General features: G+C 50.9%; 1 long non-coding RNA gene across 1 annotated transcript, besides 5 other annotated features; it reads right to left on the bottom strand.

Moving 5' to 3' along the window:
- Positions 68-117: an enhancer, noted in NCBI's record as "active region_11493". NCBI's record gives its function as "activates an Ori minimal core promoter by ATAC-STARR-seq in GM12878 lymphoblastoid cells {active_cell/tissue: GM12878}" and the evidence as "EXISTENCE:reporter gene assay evidence [ECO:0000049][PMID:35858748]".
- Positions 448-767: a silencer, noted in NCBI's record as "silent region_8003". NCBI's record gives its function as "represses an Ori minimal core promoter by ATAC-STARR-seq in GM12878 lymphoblastoid cells {active_cell/tissue: GM12878}" and the evidence as "EXISTENCE:reporter gene assay evidence [ECO:0000049][PMID:35858748]".
- Positions 448-1,059: a biological region, named in NCBI's record as "H3K27ac-H3K4me1 hESC enhancer GRCh37_chr17:2305321-2305891".
- Positions 489-1,059: an enhancer, noted in NCBI's record as "H3K27ac-H3K4me1 hESC enhancer chr17:2305321-2305891 (GRCh37/hg19 assembly coordinates)". NCBI's record gives its function as "activates a minimal SCP1, AML or CMV promoter by ChIP-STARR-seq in naive H9 embryonic stem cells {active_cell/tissue: H9 hESC(naive)}" and the evidence as "EXISTENCE:reporter gene assay evidence [ECO:0000049][PMID:30033119]".
- Positions 1,060-1,629: an enhancer, noted in NCBI's record as "H3K4me1 hESC enhancer chr17:2305892-2306461 (GRCh37/hg19 assembly coordinates)". NCBI's record gives its function as "activates a minimal SCP1, AML or CMV promoter by ChIP-STARR-seq in naive H9 embryonic stem cells {active_cell/tissue: H9 hESC(naive)}" and the evidence as "EXISTENCE:reporter gene assay evidence [ECO:0000049][PMID:30033119]".
- On the bottom strand, positions 5,443-13,898 carry LOC284009 (uncharacterized). The gene is made up of 3 exons (NR_028335.1): positions 13,650-13,898; positions 12,857-12,933; positions 5,443-5,692 (listed from the first exon to the last, which is right to left on the bottom strand). It is a non-coding gene; the product is annotated as an uncharacterized LOC284009 (long non-coding RNA).
- Between the last annotated feature and the right edge of the window lie 28 nt (positions 13,899-13,926).

The following is a 13,926-nucleotide window of genomic DNA, read 5'->3' on the forward strand; positions in this document are numbered from 1 at the left end:
GGCTGTCGCAATTCCCCCGGGATCCGCCCCTGGGCGGAGCTGCCGGCGACTGGAGACTGTCAAGAGAACCAGCGGAGGGAGCGGAGCGGCAGTCCGGCTCCGCGTTTTGTCTCCGTTCCTCCCCCCGCAGTGCGTTCGCATCCTATTAGGGGACGTCACCGGGCCGCGAGCCAATGGGCGGGCAGGACAACACGGCATGGAGCAGCTCCACATGGACACCCCGCGCCGCCAGCCTTCGGTTTAAAGGGCCAGTGTCTGCAGGTCACATTCGCGGGTGCGGATGGGGCCACTGGGCGAACCCAGGGTGGGATGCCGTAAGGGGAATCCCGCAGTCGTGCCCTGGCCTCTCCATTCCTTTTCACCACCTTCCATTTAAAACCAGGCCTTTATCTTTCCTTCCCCTGAACTCCAGTCTTTGTCCACGCGTATTCGATGTGGGTGGAGATACGGACTGTGCCACCCCATGGGCCACCCTTTCCTCTGGGGCCGGGGCCAGGGCGGGGAACACGAAGCGCCCGCAGCCCAGACCGGGGGGCGTGGCCCAAATCGGGAACAACAACGTGGAGGGCGGAAGCCCGGCCCTCCCCGCGCCTGGCGACCGGCGGTGGGCGGGGCGCGGGGGCGGGGTCCGCTGCGGCCGGCTGGAACCGCGCTCCCCAGAGGGAGGGACCCCCCGTCGCCCGCCCGCCCGCCCGCGTCTTCCGGGCTCGAGTGTTTAGGGGAGCTCGGGTGCAATCGGAGAGTTAGCTCTTTGAGGCCGGCTGCCCTTAAATCCTCTCACTTCACACATAAGGAAACTGAGGCCGTGACGGCCAAGGACTCGCCTAAGGTCGTTCCGTATTCCACCTGCTCCTCTCTCCCGAAGCGGGGGCACTCTTCCCTGACCCCAGGGACGACTCTGAAGCCAGTTCTGGAGGAGGGCCCCCAATTAGAAAAATGCCAGGGAGGAATAGCAACCCTGACCACTTAACACACTGTGATTGGGGCAACAAAAATCTTCACCTGAGACCCAACTCCGCTGTTCTGCTTCCTCGGTGGAAGCCACACGAACCCCACTGGTACAGCGGCAGCGATAGACCCCAGGCGGCTGAAAGCTTATTTGGAGCGTCCCGGAGCATGTCGATTGTGCTGTGCCAGTGCAGGGGGAGTACCCCTCAGTTCTGGCCCCAGGCTCCATTCTTTGCTAACCGGTCCAAGAAGTGGGGGGGCAGTCAGTGCCAGTGGGTTTAGAACTCCTCAGCCGCGGCTTCAACATCACACACAACCAGAAAGCAAACCTTCATGAGGCTGAGAGGCAGGCCGCCCTGCCAATACATTCCATCACATGGCACCCTCGGAGCGTTCCTATTTTAGGGACTGGTTGGAAGACAGCTAGAAACATAGAAAGCAGGCAAAATGTTTGCTGGCTTTACTCCTTTCCTTTGAGGGCATCGTCATGCATCCTAGGGGGGAAAAATCTGCACAGATCCTGGAAATCAAGAACTTCGTGAACCAGAGGAAGGGGGCTGTTTGCCAGTACTAGTCTACAGAGGCCTCTGATCTTTTCACATTTAATGCCCCAGCATCTAGAGCTGAGCATGCAGAAGTCGCCACACACACAAATGTCCAGGTAGGTACCACTGATTTTGCTTATGATGAAGCTGGAGCAAAGGCGGATTAGAACGGAACAGCCCAGTTCTTCTCCATGGGATGAGTGCCCCTTTGCTGGGAGGGCCAGATCTGTGCTGGCTCCAACATTGCTTCCTTTAAGGTGTCTGCCACTTGCCACCAGTATGGTTGGGCCTGGCCCATTCTGCACAACTAGAGAAAATGGAAAATTCAAAGGCAATATAATATATAGGCGGCAGTGGAACAGGGACTCTCAACAGTATACAGACAGTCCCTGACTTGTGATGGTTTGACACAGGACTTTCCAAGTTTGCAATGGTTGTAAAAGTGATAATCTAGCATGCGCTCAATTTAGGATGGGATTATGGCTGGTGAAACCCGTCCTAAGTGGAGCTGCATCTATACATGATTGTGACCTGAGTTAATGCTTTTGGGCAAGTTCTTATTTTGTGTGGGGTCAGCACCGTGGTGCACAGTGCTCCATCCAGCTGTCCCTTCCTGCTCTCCTCAGGTGGCCATGCACTCATACAGCCCTGGAGTTTCTGCTGAAGGCTGAGGTTTAATTTTTTACACTCTTCTTTGTCACTGGCCAACTCTATACCAGTAAGTAGGCACCTCTCTGAAAGGCAGTGTTCTTAAGACACTGTTCGCTTCAGGGGTGAGGAAGCAGAAGGTAAGAGTAGAGTGAACACAGATTTGAATGCCAGCCTCTCCATTGCCCCCAATACTCCATCTGCTCCAGAGCTTAGTGGAGATGTTTGCTATTTAAAACAAACAGCCTTACTGGCTTCACATGATCATCTGTTTATTTGGGTCATGTGGGGACAGCAGCCAGGGGATGTTAGACAAAAACAAGGGTTTAGAAGGGAGGCTGCAGGCCAGGAGCGGTGGCTCACGCCTGTAATCCCAGCACTTTGGGAGGCCGAGGTGCATGGATCACTTGAGGTCCGGAGTTCGAGACAATCCTGGCCAACGTGGTGTGGTGAAACCCTGTCTCTACTAAAAAAAAAAAAAAAAAAAGGAAGAAAAAAGAAAATTAGCTGGGCGTGGTGGCAGGCGCCTGTAATCCCAGCTACTGGGGGTGGTTAAGGCAGGAGAGTCACTTGAACCCGGGAGGTGGAGGTTGCAGTGAGCTGAGATGACACCACTGCACTCCAGCCTGGGCCACAGAGAGAGACTCCGTCTCCAAAAAAAAAAAAAAAAAAAAAAAAAAAGGGTGGGGGAGGCTGTTTCTGGACCTATTGTTGCCTACAGGAGCCTGAAAATGGCCAAAAACAATACCTCATCAACCAAGCTTTCCCCAGTTGAGGAATGGACAGTGGGGGTGGGAGATACCTATAAATGGCGATGTGAGGGCATGAAAGAAGAGGGGAATGAATAGGAGGGCTGTTTAATATTTTAGCCCCAGCTTCCTGTTCCAAGGGGGTGGAGCCAGGATAGAAGCTGGCAAATGTACTCACTCAAGAGAAAGAGAAATAAGTCCTTTTGGTTTCAGCAGAAAGGTTAGCAGGTTTGGGGAATTATCCAAAGGCCAGCAATCTCTAAAAAGGTGTTCCTTAAGTTTCTTTTTCTTTTTTTCTTTTTTGAGATAGAGTCTCCCTCTGTTGCCCAGGCTGGAGTGCAGTGGTGTGATCTTGGCTCACTGCAACTTCTGCCTCCCAGGTTCAAGTGATTCTCCTGCCTCAGCCTCCGGAGTAGCTGGGATTACAAGCACGCACCACCACGCCCGGCTAATTTTTGTATTTTTAGTAGAGACGGGGTTTCACCATGTTGGCCAGGCTGGTCTCAAACTCCTGACCTCAAGTGATCTGCCTGTCTTGGCCTCCCAAAGGGCTGGGATGACAGGCGTGAGCCACCGCGCCCGGCTGTTCCTTAAGTTTCTTCATGGCTTCTGGGTGCTTAGTACCTTGGAGCAGGAGAAAAGCTGGGCTGTCCATCATTGTGAGTTTCTCACGAGAGGGTTTCCGTTTTCAGTCTTCCTCCCCGAGTCTTGTGCACCCCACCTCCCAGTTCAAATTCCATTATGTCCTCCAATTTTTTAATCTTTTATTCTTTTTTTCACCAACCACAATAAGAAGCACCAATTCCCCAATTTTTTAATATGCTGAGCCAGAGACATCCCCTTAGTGGAACTGTCTTCCTATCCCCCACCACTCACCTAACAAAGTATCAACTCCAAGAGCTATGAAAATCAGTGCCCTGACTCCTACAAAGCCTGAGTCATGAGATGGGGGAAAGGGCGTGAAGCCGAAAGTACAGATGTTCACAGGAAATCCCAACCCTTCAAGCCTGATGTCTCATCTTTTGCAAGCAGCTAAGGAGCTTTTCACATACCATCATTAAAACAAGACCCATGGGAGGAAGCTGGCTGCAGGATGAAGAGGAAAAAACAGAAGACTAGTACACTCAAGACATACCAGAGAAGATCCATTTCATAAATATTTATTGTGTGCCTGAGGTGCCAAGCACTAGGCTAGGTATGCTGTGGCCAAGGCCAGGGGACCTCTGGTAAGCCAGAGCGGGGCAAAAGCAAACAGAGCGGAACTCCACTCCACTGTGATAACTTGCAAAAGATTAGTTCTGCTGTTCGCCACCGTGCTGGATGCAGCACCAGAGACAGGACGACACGAGGACCCAGAGGGCGCCGCCATGCTCATTTCAGAAGGTGCAGCCTCCGTGTCCGTGGGTCCGCACCCATGGAGGCAACTAACCGTGGATCAAAAATATTCAGGAAAAAAAAATGGAAAATATACAAGAAAAAATAATACAAATTTAAAAACCAACACAGCACAAGAACTATTTACACAGCATTTACATGGTATGAGGTATTTGAGTAGCGCAGAGATGAGTTAAAGGATACCTGAGGATGTGCATAGGTTACATGTAAGGGATTTGAGCATCATCCATGGACAGGTATTCAGGGAGGCTCCAGGAACCAATCCCCATTGGACAGTGAGAAGCAACTGTAATTCCGTTTTTCTATGTAGAGATAAAAACAAATTCAGTGGATTTAAGGCTGGGCCAGTCAACTGAGCCTGATTCCCCCAGTCTGAATGATGAGTGGGACTCTGAATTCCTTTGACAGAGGTGGACCCATTCAATCATCAGTGAAATGGGGTCCCCACAGCCAAAAGTTTCCACAGGACTCTTTACCTCCTTTCCCCACCCCAAGTGAGTTGTCAGAGGACCTCTCCTGAACTCACAGAACAGGTCCAATCAAGTTCCACCTCCCCATTCATGTCCTTTCCAGAAGCTGGGCGCGGTGGCTCACGCCCTAAGTTCCAGCTACGTGGGAGGCTGAGACAGGAGAATCGCCTGAGCCCAGGATTTCAAGGCCAGCCTGGGCAACATAGCAAGATACTGTCTCAAAAAAAAAAAAAAAAAAATTGCAGCCTCACATGATGTCATAGCTGGAAGAGCTGGGATCATGGGGTCTGACCTCCCAAGAGAAGGTGTATCCAAGGTCACAAAGCTGCCAAGCATCAGCTAGGTTGAGAAGTGGCCTGGTCCTCCTCTTTGGCTGGCTGGGCCAGGCCTGGGGAAGTGCTATCAGTGTGGGGTGTTGAGTCCCTGAAAGCCTCCCAGAAGTGGGTGAAGATGGAGAGGGAACTCCACCCCTCCTCGTTAAAGACAGGAATAATCATTCACTTTGCTTAGTGGTCCCCAATAAACAAGCTTAGCAGATAAGCGGGAAGACAGGGAAAGGGAATCAGACTTGGGATCCAGGAGCTCGCAGGACCCTGTTCTGCCCCAGGCCACTCAGGAATGGAGAGCTGCTAGCTGGACCTGGGTAGGTCACCATTACTCACTGGGGCTTTTGTCTGGCATGAAAGGTGACGGGAGAAAGGGGCAGATTTTTATCCAGGCAGCCACCGTGGGTGTGGACACTGAGTAATAAGGAAAGAAATGCAGTTCAGAAGCAAAGAGGGAGGAGCCAGGTCCTCTGAGCTCTTCTGAGAAACCAGAGCCCAGTCGAGCTCTGCAGCTAGAGTGGCAGCTGCGGATGACAGTGGGTCAGAAGCTTGGTGGGAGGAGGCTGACCCAGCGGAAAGGCACAGGAGACGGATGACGATGTCAGGGATTCCTTTAAAGGAAAAAAGAGGTGGCTTTATGACAGCAAAACTAATTCAGGTCAAGGGAGTGGGACTGGGCAGAAGTTATGAGTAAAGCCGGGTGGAGTCTTGCCATGGGAGTCAAGAGTCCGCTGGATCACGCAGGGGTGGGGACATGGTGATAGGGAAGAAACCTCCCAGGACCGACGGGCTGCAATGTGATCAGTGCCCCACACAAAGGACTAAGGTCTATATCCCAGCAGCCCCAGTTCACACCCAAATGCAAGGCTGTAGCATCAAGTCTTGAAAGCCCAAGAGATCAGCAGCCTATGCCAGGAATGAGGCTCTCTCTGGAGGCAAGGCCGAGAGCAGTGGCCGGTCACTGGCTGCACAGCCCAGAGCAGATACCACAGAGCCAGGGCTCAGCTCCAGGTGCACTATGAGATCTCTCCCCAAGGCCCCAGGGCCCACTGGGAAAGGACACACCACTGCTGCCCAGCCTGCTCCACTCCCTGTGCCATCAGGGACACCTCAGTGGGGAGTGCTAGAGCTTCCCAGCGCCCTCTCTGATGAGTTAGTCTGAAATAATGCTGAACCACTGGTAAAAGACAGGTCCTTAAACTTCACACCATACAGCAATGTAAATTCAAATGCTAAATGTAAAAAATAAAACTAAAATAGCCATAATAAAATATAGGAAAACATTTTTCAGCTCTAGGGTGGTGAAGGAGTTTCTACCCATAAAGGCAAACAAAGAAAATATAAAAGCACAGTGTGATAGATTTGATTACCTCTAAAAGCTATAAAAATAAAACAAAATCATCACTAAAGAAAAGAAAAAGGGGCCGGGCACAGTGGCTCATGCCTGTAATCCTAGCACTCTGGGAGGCCGAGGCGGGCGGATCACGTGAGGTTGGGAGTTCGAGACCAGCCTGGGCAACATGGTGAAACCCCTGTGTCTACTAAAAATACAAAAAAGTACCCGGGTGTGGTGGTACATGCGTGTAATCCCAGCTACTCTGGAGGCAGAGGCACGAGAATTGCTTGAACCCGGGAGGCGGAGGTTGCAGTGAGCCGAGATTGCACCACCGCACTCCAGCCTGGGGCGGGGCTGGGGGGTATGGGGAGAAAGAGCAAGACTCTGCCTCAAAAAAAAAAAAAAAAAAAAAAAAAAAAAAAAAAAAGGCCGGGCACAGTGGCTCACGCTTGTAATCCCAGCACTTTGGGAGGCCGAGGTGGGCGGATCACGAGGTCAGGAGATCGAGACCATCCTGGCTAACACGGTGAAACCCCGTCGCTACTAAAAATACAAAAATTAGCCGGGCGTGGTGGCATGCACCTGTACTCCCAGCTACTCAGGAGGCTGAGGCAGGAGAATCACTTGAACCCAGGAGGCGGAGGTTGCAGTGAGCCGAGATCACACCACTGCACTCCATCCTGGGCGACAGAGCGAGACTCCATCTCAGGGAAAAAAAAATCACAATGGGGCCAAGCGCAGTGGCTCACACCTGTAATCCCAGCACTTTGGGAGGCCGAGGCGGGCGGATCACGAGGTCAGGAGATCGAGACCATCCTGGCTAACACGGTGAAACCCCGTCTCTACTAAACAAAATACAAAAAATTAGTCGGGCGTGGTGGCGGGCGCCTGTAGTCCCAGCTACTCGGGAGGCTGAGGCAGGAGAATGGCGTGAACCCGGGAGGCGGAGCTTGCAGTGAGCCGAGATCGCGCCACTGCACTCCAGCCCGGGCGACAGAGCGAGACTCTGTCTCAAAAAAAAAAAAAAAAAAAAAAAAAAAAAAAAAAAAAAAAAAGAAAAGAAAAAGGAAAGTGAAAACCAGAAAATCCAAATTTCCGACTAGTAACGGCTAGCTGAAGCAATGCTCACAATACTGACAGCATGTGAGGAAAACAGGGTTGCTACTATTAGCAGGGCTTGTCGCTGGGCAGTGTGGTTACCACTAATTTTTATTTGTACAAGTTTTCTGAAACATGTTAACTTTATAATAAGAAAAAAGTTATATTACTAAATGAAAAAGATTATAAAACACTAAGATACCATATGATCCATAATTTCTATGTAAAAAATATGCATATAAAATAGACAACAAAATGTAAAATAATTTGATTTGAATAGTAGAATTCTAGTGTTATTCAATATTTTCTAAAATTTTTCTCAGACAGGGTCTCACTCTGTCGCCCAGGCTGGAGTGCAGTGGTGTGCTCACAGCTCACTGCAGCCTTGACCTCCCTGGCTCAAGTGATCCTCCTACCTCAGCCTCCTGAGTATCTGGGACTACAGGCGTGCACCACCACACCCGACTAATTTTTTTATTTTTTGTAGAGATGGTATTTCGCCATGTTACCCAGGCTGGTCTTGAACTCCTGAGGTCAAGCGATCCATCCACCTCAGCCTCCCAAAGTGCTAAGATTAAAGGTGTGAGCCACAGTGCCCAGCATTTCTAAATTTTTTATAATGAAAATGTACTGCTTTTTTTTTTTTTGAGACGGAGTTTCACTCTTGTTGCCCAGGCTGGAGTGCAATGGCGTGATCTCGGCTCACCGTAGCCTCTGCCTCTTGGTTCAGGCGAGTCTCCTGCCTCAGCCTCCCAAGTTGGCTGAGATTACAGGCATGACGCACCATGCCCGGCTAATATTGTATTTTTAGTAGAGATGGGGTTTCTCCATGTTGGTCAGGCTGGTCTCAAACTCCCAACCTCAGGCGATCCGCCCGCCTCAGCCTCCCAAAGTGCTGGGATTACAGGCATGAGCCACTGCATCCGGCCTGTCCTGCTTTTTAAAAATAAAATTGCCGGGCACGGTAGCTCACGCCTGTAATCCCAGCACTTTGGGAGGCCGAGGAGGGTGGATCATGAGGTCAGGAGATCGAGACCATCCTGGCTAACACGGTGAAACCCTGTCTCTACTAAAAATACAAAAAATTAGTCGGGTGTGGTGGCGGGCGCCTGTAGTCCCAGCTACTCGGGAGGCTGAGGCAGGAGAATGGCGTGAACCTGGGAGGCGGGGCTTGCAGTGAGCCAAGATCGCGCCACTGCACTCCAGCCTGTGCGACAGAGCAAGACTCGTCTCAAAAATAAATAAATAAAATAAAATAAAATAAAATAAAATTGTCGGACTAAGAATTAAAAAAACCTGGCTGGGCACAGTGGCTCACGCCTGTAATCCCAACACTTTGGGAGGCCGAGGTGGGCGGATCACGAGGTCAGGAGATCGAGACCATCCTGCCCAACATGGTAAAACCCCGACTCTACCAAAAATTCAAAAATTAGCTGGGTGTGGTGGCGTGCGCCTGTAGTCCTAGCTACTTGGGAGGCTGAGGCAGGAGAATCGCTTGAACCTGGAAGACAGAGGTTGCGGTGAGCCGAAATAGTGCCATTGCACTCCAGCCTGGCGACAGAGCGAGACCCCGTCTCAAAACAACACAACAACAACAACAAAACCTGGAAATTATCAAAGGGGGAAAATGCTGGCCTGTCCTGTATCAGAAAGGGCCTCCCATTTTTTGGGATCTCGCATCTCTTGATCTCAACCAACTCCCCTGCCTGTGGGATCTATTTCCCATTCTACTCTTTCTTTTGAAAGCTTCCAGTTCACTCCCCAAACAAAGCAGATTTCATCTTGTTCTCTGCCCAAAATACCTAAATCTACTCTTTCTACTTCTTTACTCTGAAGCTCCCCGGAACTCGCTGAGGCCATTACAGAGCTCTATCGGGCTGGACTGGGGAGAGGTTTCTAAGGTGGAATTGGTGGGATTTAGTGGAAGACTTTACACCTGGTGGGAAAGGAGGGGGAAGAACAGAGATTTGTCCTCTGGAGAGCTGGGTGGATGGTGAGCAAGGCAACAGGAGAAGCAGGTGCAGACAATCAGAGGAGTTTCACACGGCCATGGGCCGGCGGGTGAGGAATGAGGATGCTGGAAGTTCAGGATGGGTCTGGATCTGGGCACAATGAATGTATGAGGAGTGGTTGAAGAAACTGGCGTGGATGAGGTCAGCCAGCAGTGGGAGAAAGAGCAAGCAGGCCCATGGGTAGACTCCTTCGGACTCCTCCCTTAAGAGGTGGGAAGGACCCTAAAACAGGGAAACAGGCAGCAAGCCGACCAGTAGCTCCAGTGAGAGGGTCGTGGAGGCAGGAAGACACAGGCAGTTCTACTCCTGGTGGCAGAAGTGGTCACTGACAAACGGTTTACCGCAAATTGTTTTTTTCTTTTTTTTATTTGAGACAAGGTCTTACTTTGTTACCCGGGTTGGAATGTAGCAGTACGATCTCGGCTCACTCTAGCCTTGACCTCTCTGGGCTCAAGCAATCCTCCCGCCTCAGCTCCCCCAAGTAGCTGGAACTACAAGTGCGCACCATCACACCCAGCTAATGTTTTGTATTTTTCATAGAGATGGGGTTTTGCCATGTTGCCCAGGCTGGTCTCGAACTCCTGGCCTCAAGCAGTCCACCAACCTCAGCCTCCCAAAGGTGCTAGGATTATAGGCTTGCGCCACCATGCCCAGCTGGTTTACATTTTTAATAAAATAATTAATTGTCAGGGTTCACAATTAAGCAAATTTCTCATAAATCTGGATTTCTGGCTTCCCTCAAAACATCAGAAGATCCAGCAACACTGGGCACCTATTTCAGCACAGCAATAACCAGGGGGAGCTGAACACAAGCCACTCCACTATATTTTTATTTTTAGATTTATTATTATTATTTTGAGACAGAGTCTCGCTGTGTCACCTAGGCTGGAGTGCAGTGGTGCTATCTTGGCTCACTGCAACCTCCGCCTCCCGGGTTCAAGCGATTCTCCTGCCTCGGCCTTCCAAGTAGCTGGGATTACAGGCATGCGCCACCACACCCAGCTAATTTTTGTATTTTTAGTAGAGACGGGGTTTTGCCATGTTGGCCAGGCTGGTCTCGAACTCCTGACCTCAGGTGATCCGCCCTCCTCGGCCTCCAGAAGTGCTGGGATTCCAGGCTGAGCCGCTGCACCTGGCTGAGATGTTTCCTTTGAGAACGAAGAAGTCCTCATCTTTGCTAGTCCAGAGCTCTCACTGAATATGGCCAGAGTTTGCTCCATAAAGCCCCCAAATAAACCCACATCTGGGCAGCCGTGTGCGGTGGCTCACGCCTGGAATCCCAGCACTCTGGGAGGCCGAGGCAGGTGGATAACCTGAGGTTGGGAGTTCAAGACCAGCCTGGGCAACATGGTGAAACCCCGTCTTCTACTAAAAATACAAAAAATTAGCCAGGCATTGTGGCAGGTGCCTGTAGTCCCAGCTACTTGGGGAGACTGAGGCAGGAGAATCGCTTGAACCCCGGCAGAGGTTGCAGTGAGCTGAGATCACGCCTTTGCACTCCAGCCTGGGCAACAAGAGTGAAATTCTGTCTCAAAACAAACAAGCCCACATTTGGCCTTGAAGGCAGGAATCTGGGACAAATATGTGTGAAGTAAGGATCCTGTGTCAGACCAGACAGGGACTCCCCTTTTCCCAGCAGGAGACACAGTTTCCAAATGGCCAGTCTCTGGGCACAGGCCCCTGCTCACCAGTGTCCCAGGAGGGGGCCTGCTCAGCAGTGCCCTCTGGGCCACATTCTCATTCTCTCTCTGGACAGCAGCAGCACAAGCTGCCATTTCCCTGGGGCCTGACTGGCTCCTCGAGCCAGCCAAGTGCCCCAGCTGGGAACTTCCTGGCTCTGGTTTTTAGATTCTGGGGCCACATTCCCTGAATGGGTCCACCAGATGGCAGGCAGCCTTTCCTCTTCCCAGACTGATACTAGTTCACACACCCTGCCCGGGGAGGAGGCCTGGCTGTTTTTCTGGCAATTGCTACCTTCTCCAGGAAGCTCAAAAAGCACATCAGTTTTGTGTTGTTCTGTAAGTGAAATATCTGGAGCTGCCTTATTTTAAAAAAATAATTAAACCTCTCTTTCATTATACAATTATGTATTGCCAAAGAATAATTCACCTAATAATCAGTTATTTCCTATTGATTCTGGTCCAACATGTACTTTAACTAGACATTTTATTTTGCGCTTTCACTAACTACATAATTACCTGCACTACTGCCAAATACAAAGTTCTGTGAAGATTTGGTAGCATAATTTTTTTTTCTCATTCTGTCCCCCAGGCTGGAGCACAGTGGCGCGATCTCGGCTCACTGCAACCTCCGCCACCCGGGTTCAAGCGATTCTCCTGCCTCAGCCTCCCGAGTAGCTGGGATTACAGGTGTGAGCCACCACGCCCGGCTAATTTTTGTATTTTTAGTAGAGACGGGTTTCACCATGTTGGCCAGGCTGGTCTCAAACTCCTGACCTCAGGTGATCCACCCGCCTCGGCCTCCCAAAGTGCTGGGATTACAGGCGTGAGCCACTGCATCTGGCCCCAACATGTACTTTCACTAGATATTTTATTTTGCGCTTTCACTAACTACTTAATTATCTGCACTACTGCCAAATACAAAGTTCCGTGAAGATTTGGTAGCATAAATGAAGAATTCTAAGTAATTCCACTGACTACATGTCACTCGTTCATCATAGGCTGGAAAATAATATTACCTTGAAGTGCTAAACTGTGAGGGTGAAAGATGCTTTTTTCCTTCCCCGTGTTGTATCACTGCAGCCCCCTCCCTAGAGGTGGGTCAGACGAGCCTGGAAGTACATTTCCACATGAAGTGCGGCACTTGCTATAGACTTTTGAGTTCCGGCACAAGATCCCAGTCTTGGCTTCTTGGACCTGAGTTCGAATCCCATTTCTATGACTGAGCTCCGTGGATAACCTTACAGCAAGTCACTGACACTCTCTGAGCTTCCCTTTCCTTCAGCCACCACCTAGGAACGTCACACAGGCTGACGGGGTTACTAAATGAGACAGTGTGTGTGGAAGGTGGACCATCAATATTGGCCCCCAGTCCTCCCTCCATCACATCAAGTATGGGTTTTGCTCTTTGTCAACGGTGGTACTTTACACCTACAGACATACACGTGAGGTCTCAGCCTTTTCATCTGAGTCTACTGGTAGAAGGTTTTCTGAATGGAAATGGACAATTCAAAGAATCGGAAGAGGAGCAAGTGTTTCCACCCTCTGCTGAGATTTCAGTCCTTCTTGCACTTAAGCACTGCTCTAAATGTGAAGCGACAATTCCTCATCTGTGGCACGAGGAAGACAAGGCTTAGTAAACGGACTTACCCTGTGCAAGGAATGGAACTGGACGGGAACCCAGGTCTGAACGTCGAAGTCTGTGCTCTTTCCTGCCTCTTGCTCCCCTAGGGTGGGTGGAAAAGAGTCTTGGGTTTACACCTGCCTGGCCCTCTCAGAGCACCATTTGCGAGCCAGTTCTGCCAAGTCCGACTGTACTTTTCCTCTACCCCTTCTCCTTTCAGTTCCCCTGTGAGGGAAGCACCCACAATCTTCCTCTTCCCTAAGGAAACCCACGCTTCTGCTTGGATTGAGACCGGCAGACAGGCTACATCTCAAAGGGCACCTCGAGGGGCAAGGGCGTTCTGTAGTCACAACACAGTCCGTGGAGTACAAAGCACAGCCTCCACCAGGCAGCATTAGCTGCTCCAACCAGGAATTTAAAACACCAACCGCTGTTTTAGTCATTTGGCTGAGCCACAGCAGAGCATGTGAATGTCACAGAACAGAGCAGGAACGCCGGGGCACGTGTGATGCCCATCATCAGTGGGGCAGGCGCCGTCCGGGCCTCTGATACTGCGCTGGCACTCATACCGAGAGCCGCGTACTCGGGATTACTAGAGAGGTTCGACACATCAGTGCTGCCCGCAGGAGGCAGGAGTCAGTTCATTCTATTCAGCCTCTTCTGGGTTTTACCGAGGTTAGTGCCCATTCAGCAAACCAAGTCTCCTGTGCACCAACTTCCCTAAAAAGGCCGTGACCCTTTCCTGAGGGGACCCCCTCTATCGCCATAAACCTGCTGCACCTTTGAAATGCTCCTTCTTCCAGAGGGCTCTTGACTTACTTTTCCCACCTGGCCCCTTCTCCTCCTATGTGCACAACTGCTGGGCGGCCACATCTGATCCTGTACCAGAAACATAAGGGGAGACGGGATCCTCCTTGAGCCCACACAGACCCCAGCGTTCTCCCCAGAAACGCCCCTTGTGAGAAGCAAGGCCGGCTAACCGACAGCATCTACACCACACAGAACCCTCACCTTCTGATATAAGCAACACACGACATGCATGGTAGCCAGCCAACCAGAGGAACCCCAAACAAGGGTCAACAACAGAACACTGAAC

This window comes from Homo sapiens, chromosome 17, assembly GCF_000001405.40.
Source record: "Homo sapiens chromosome 17, GRCh38.p14 Primary Assembly".
Taxonomy (NCBI): Eukaryota; Metazoa; Chordata; class Mammalia; order Primates; family Hominidae; genus Homo; species Homo sapiens.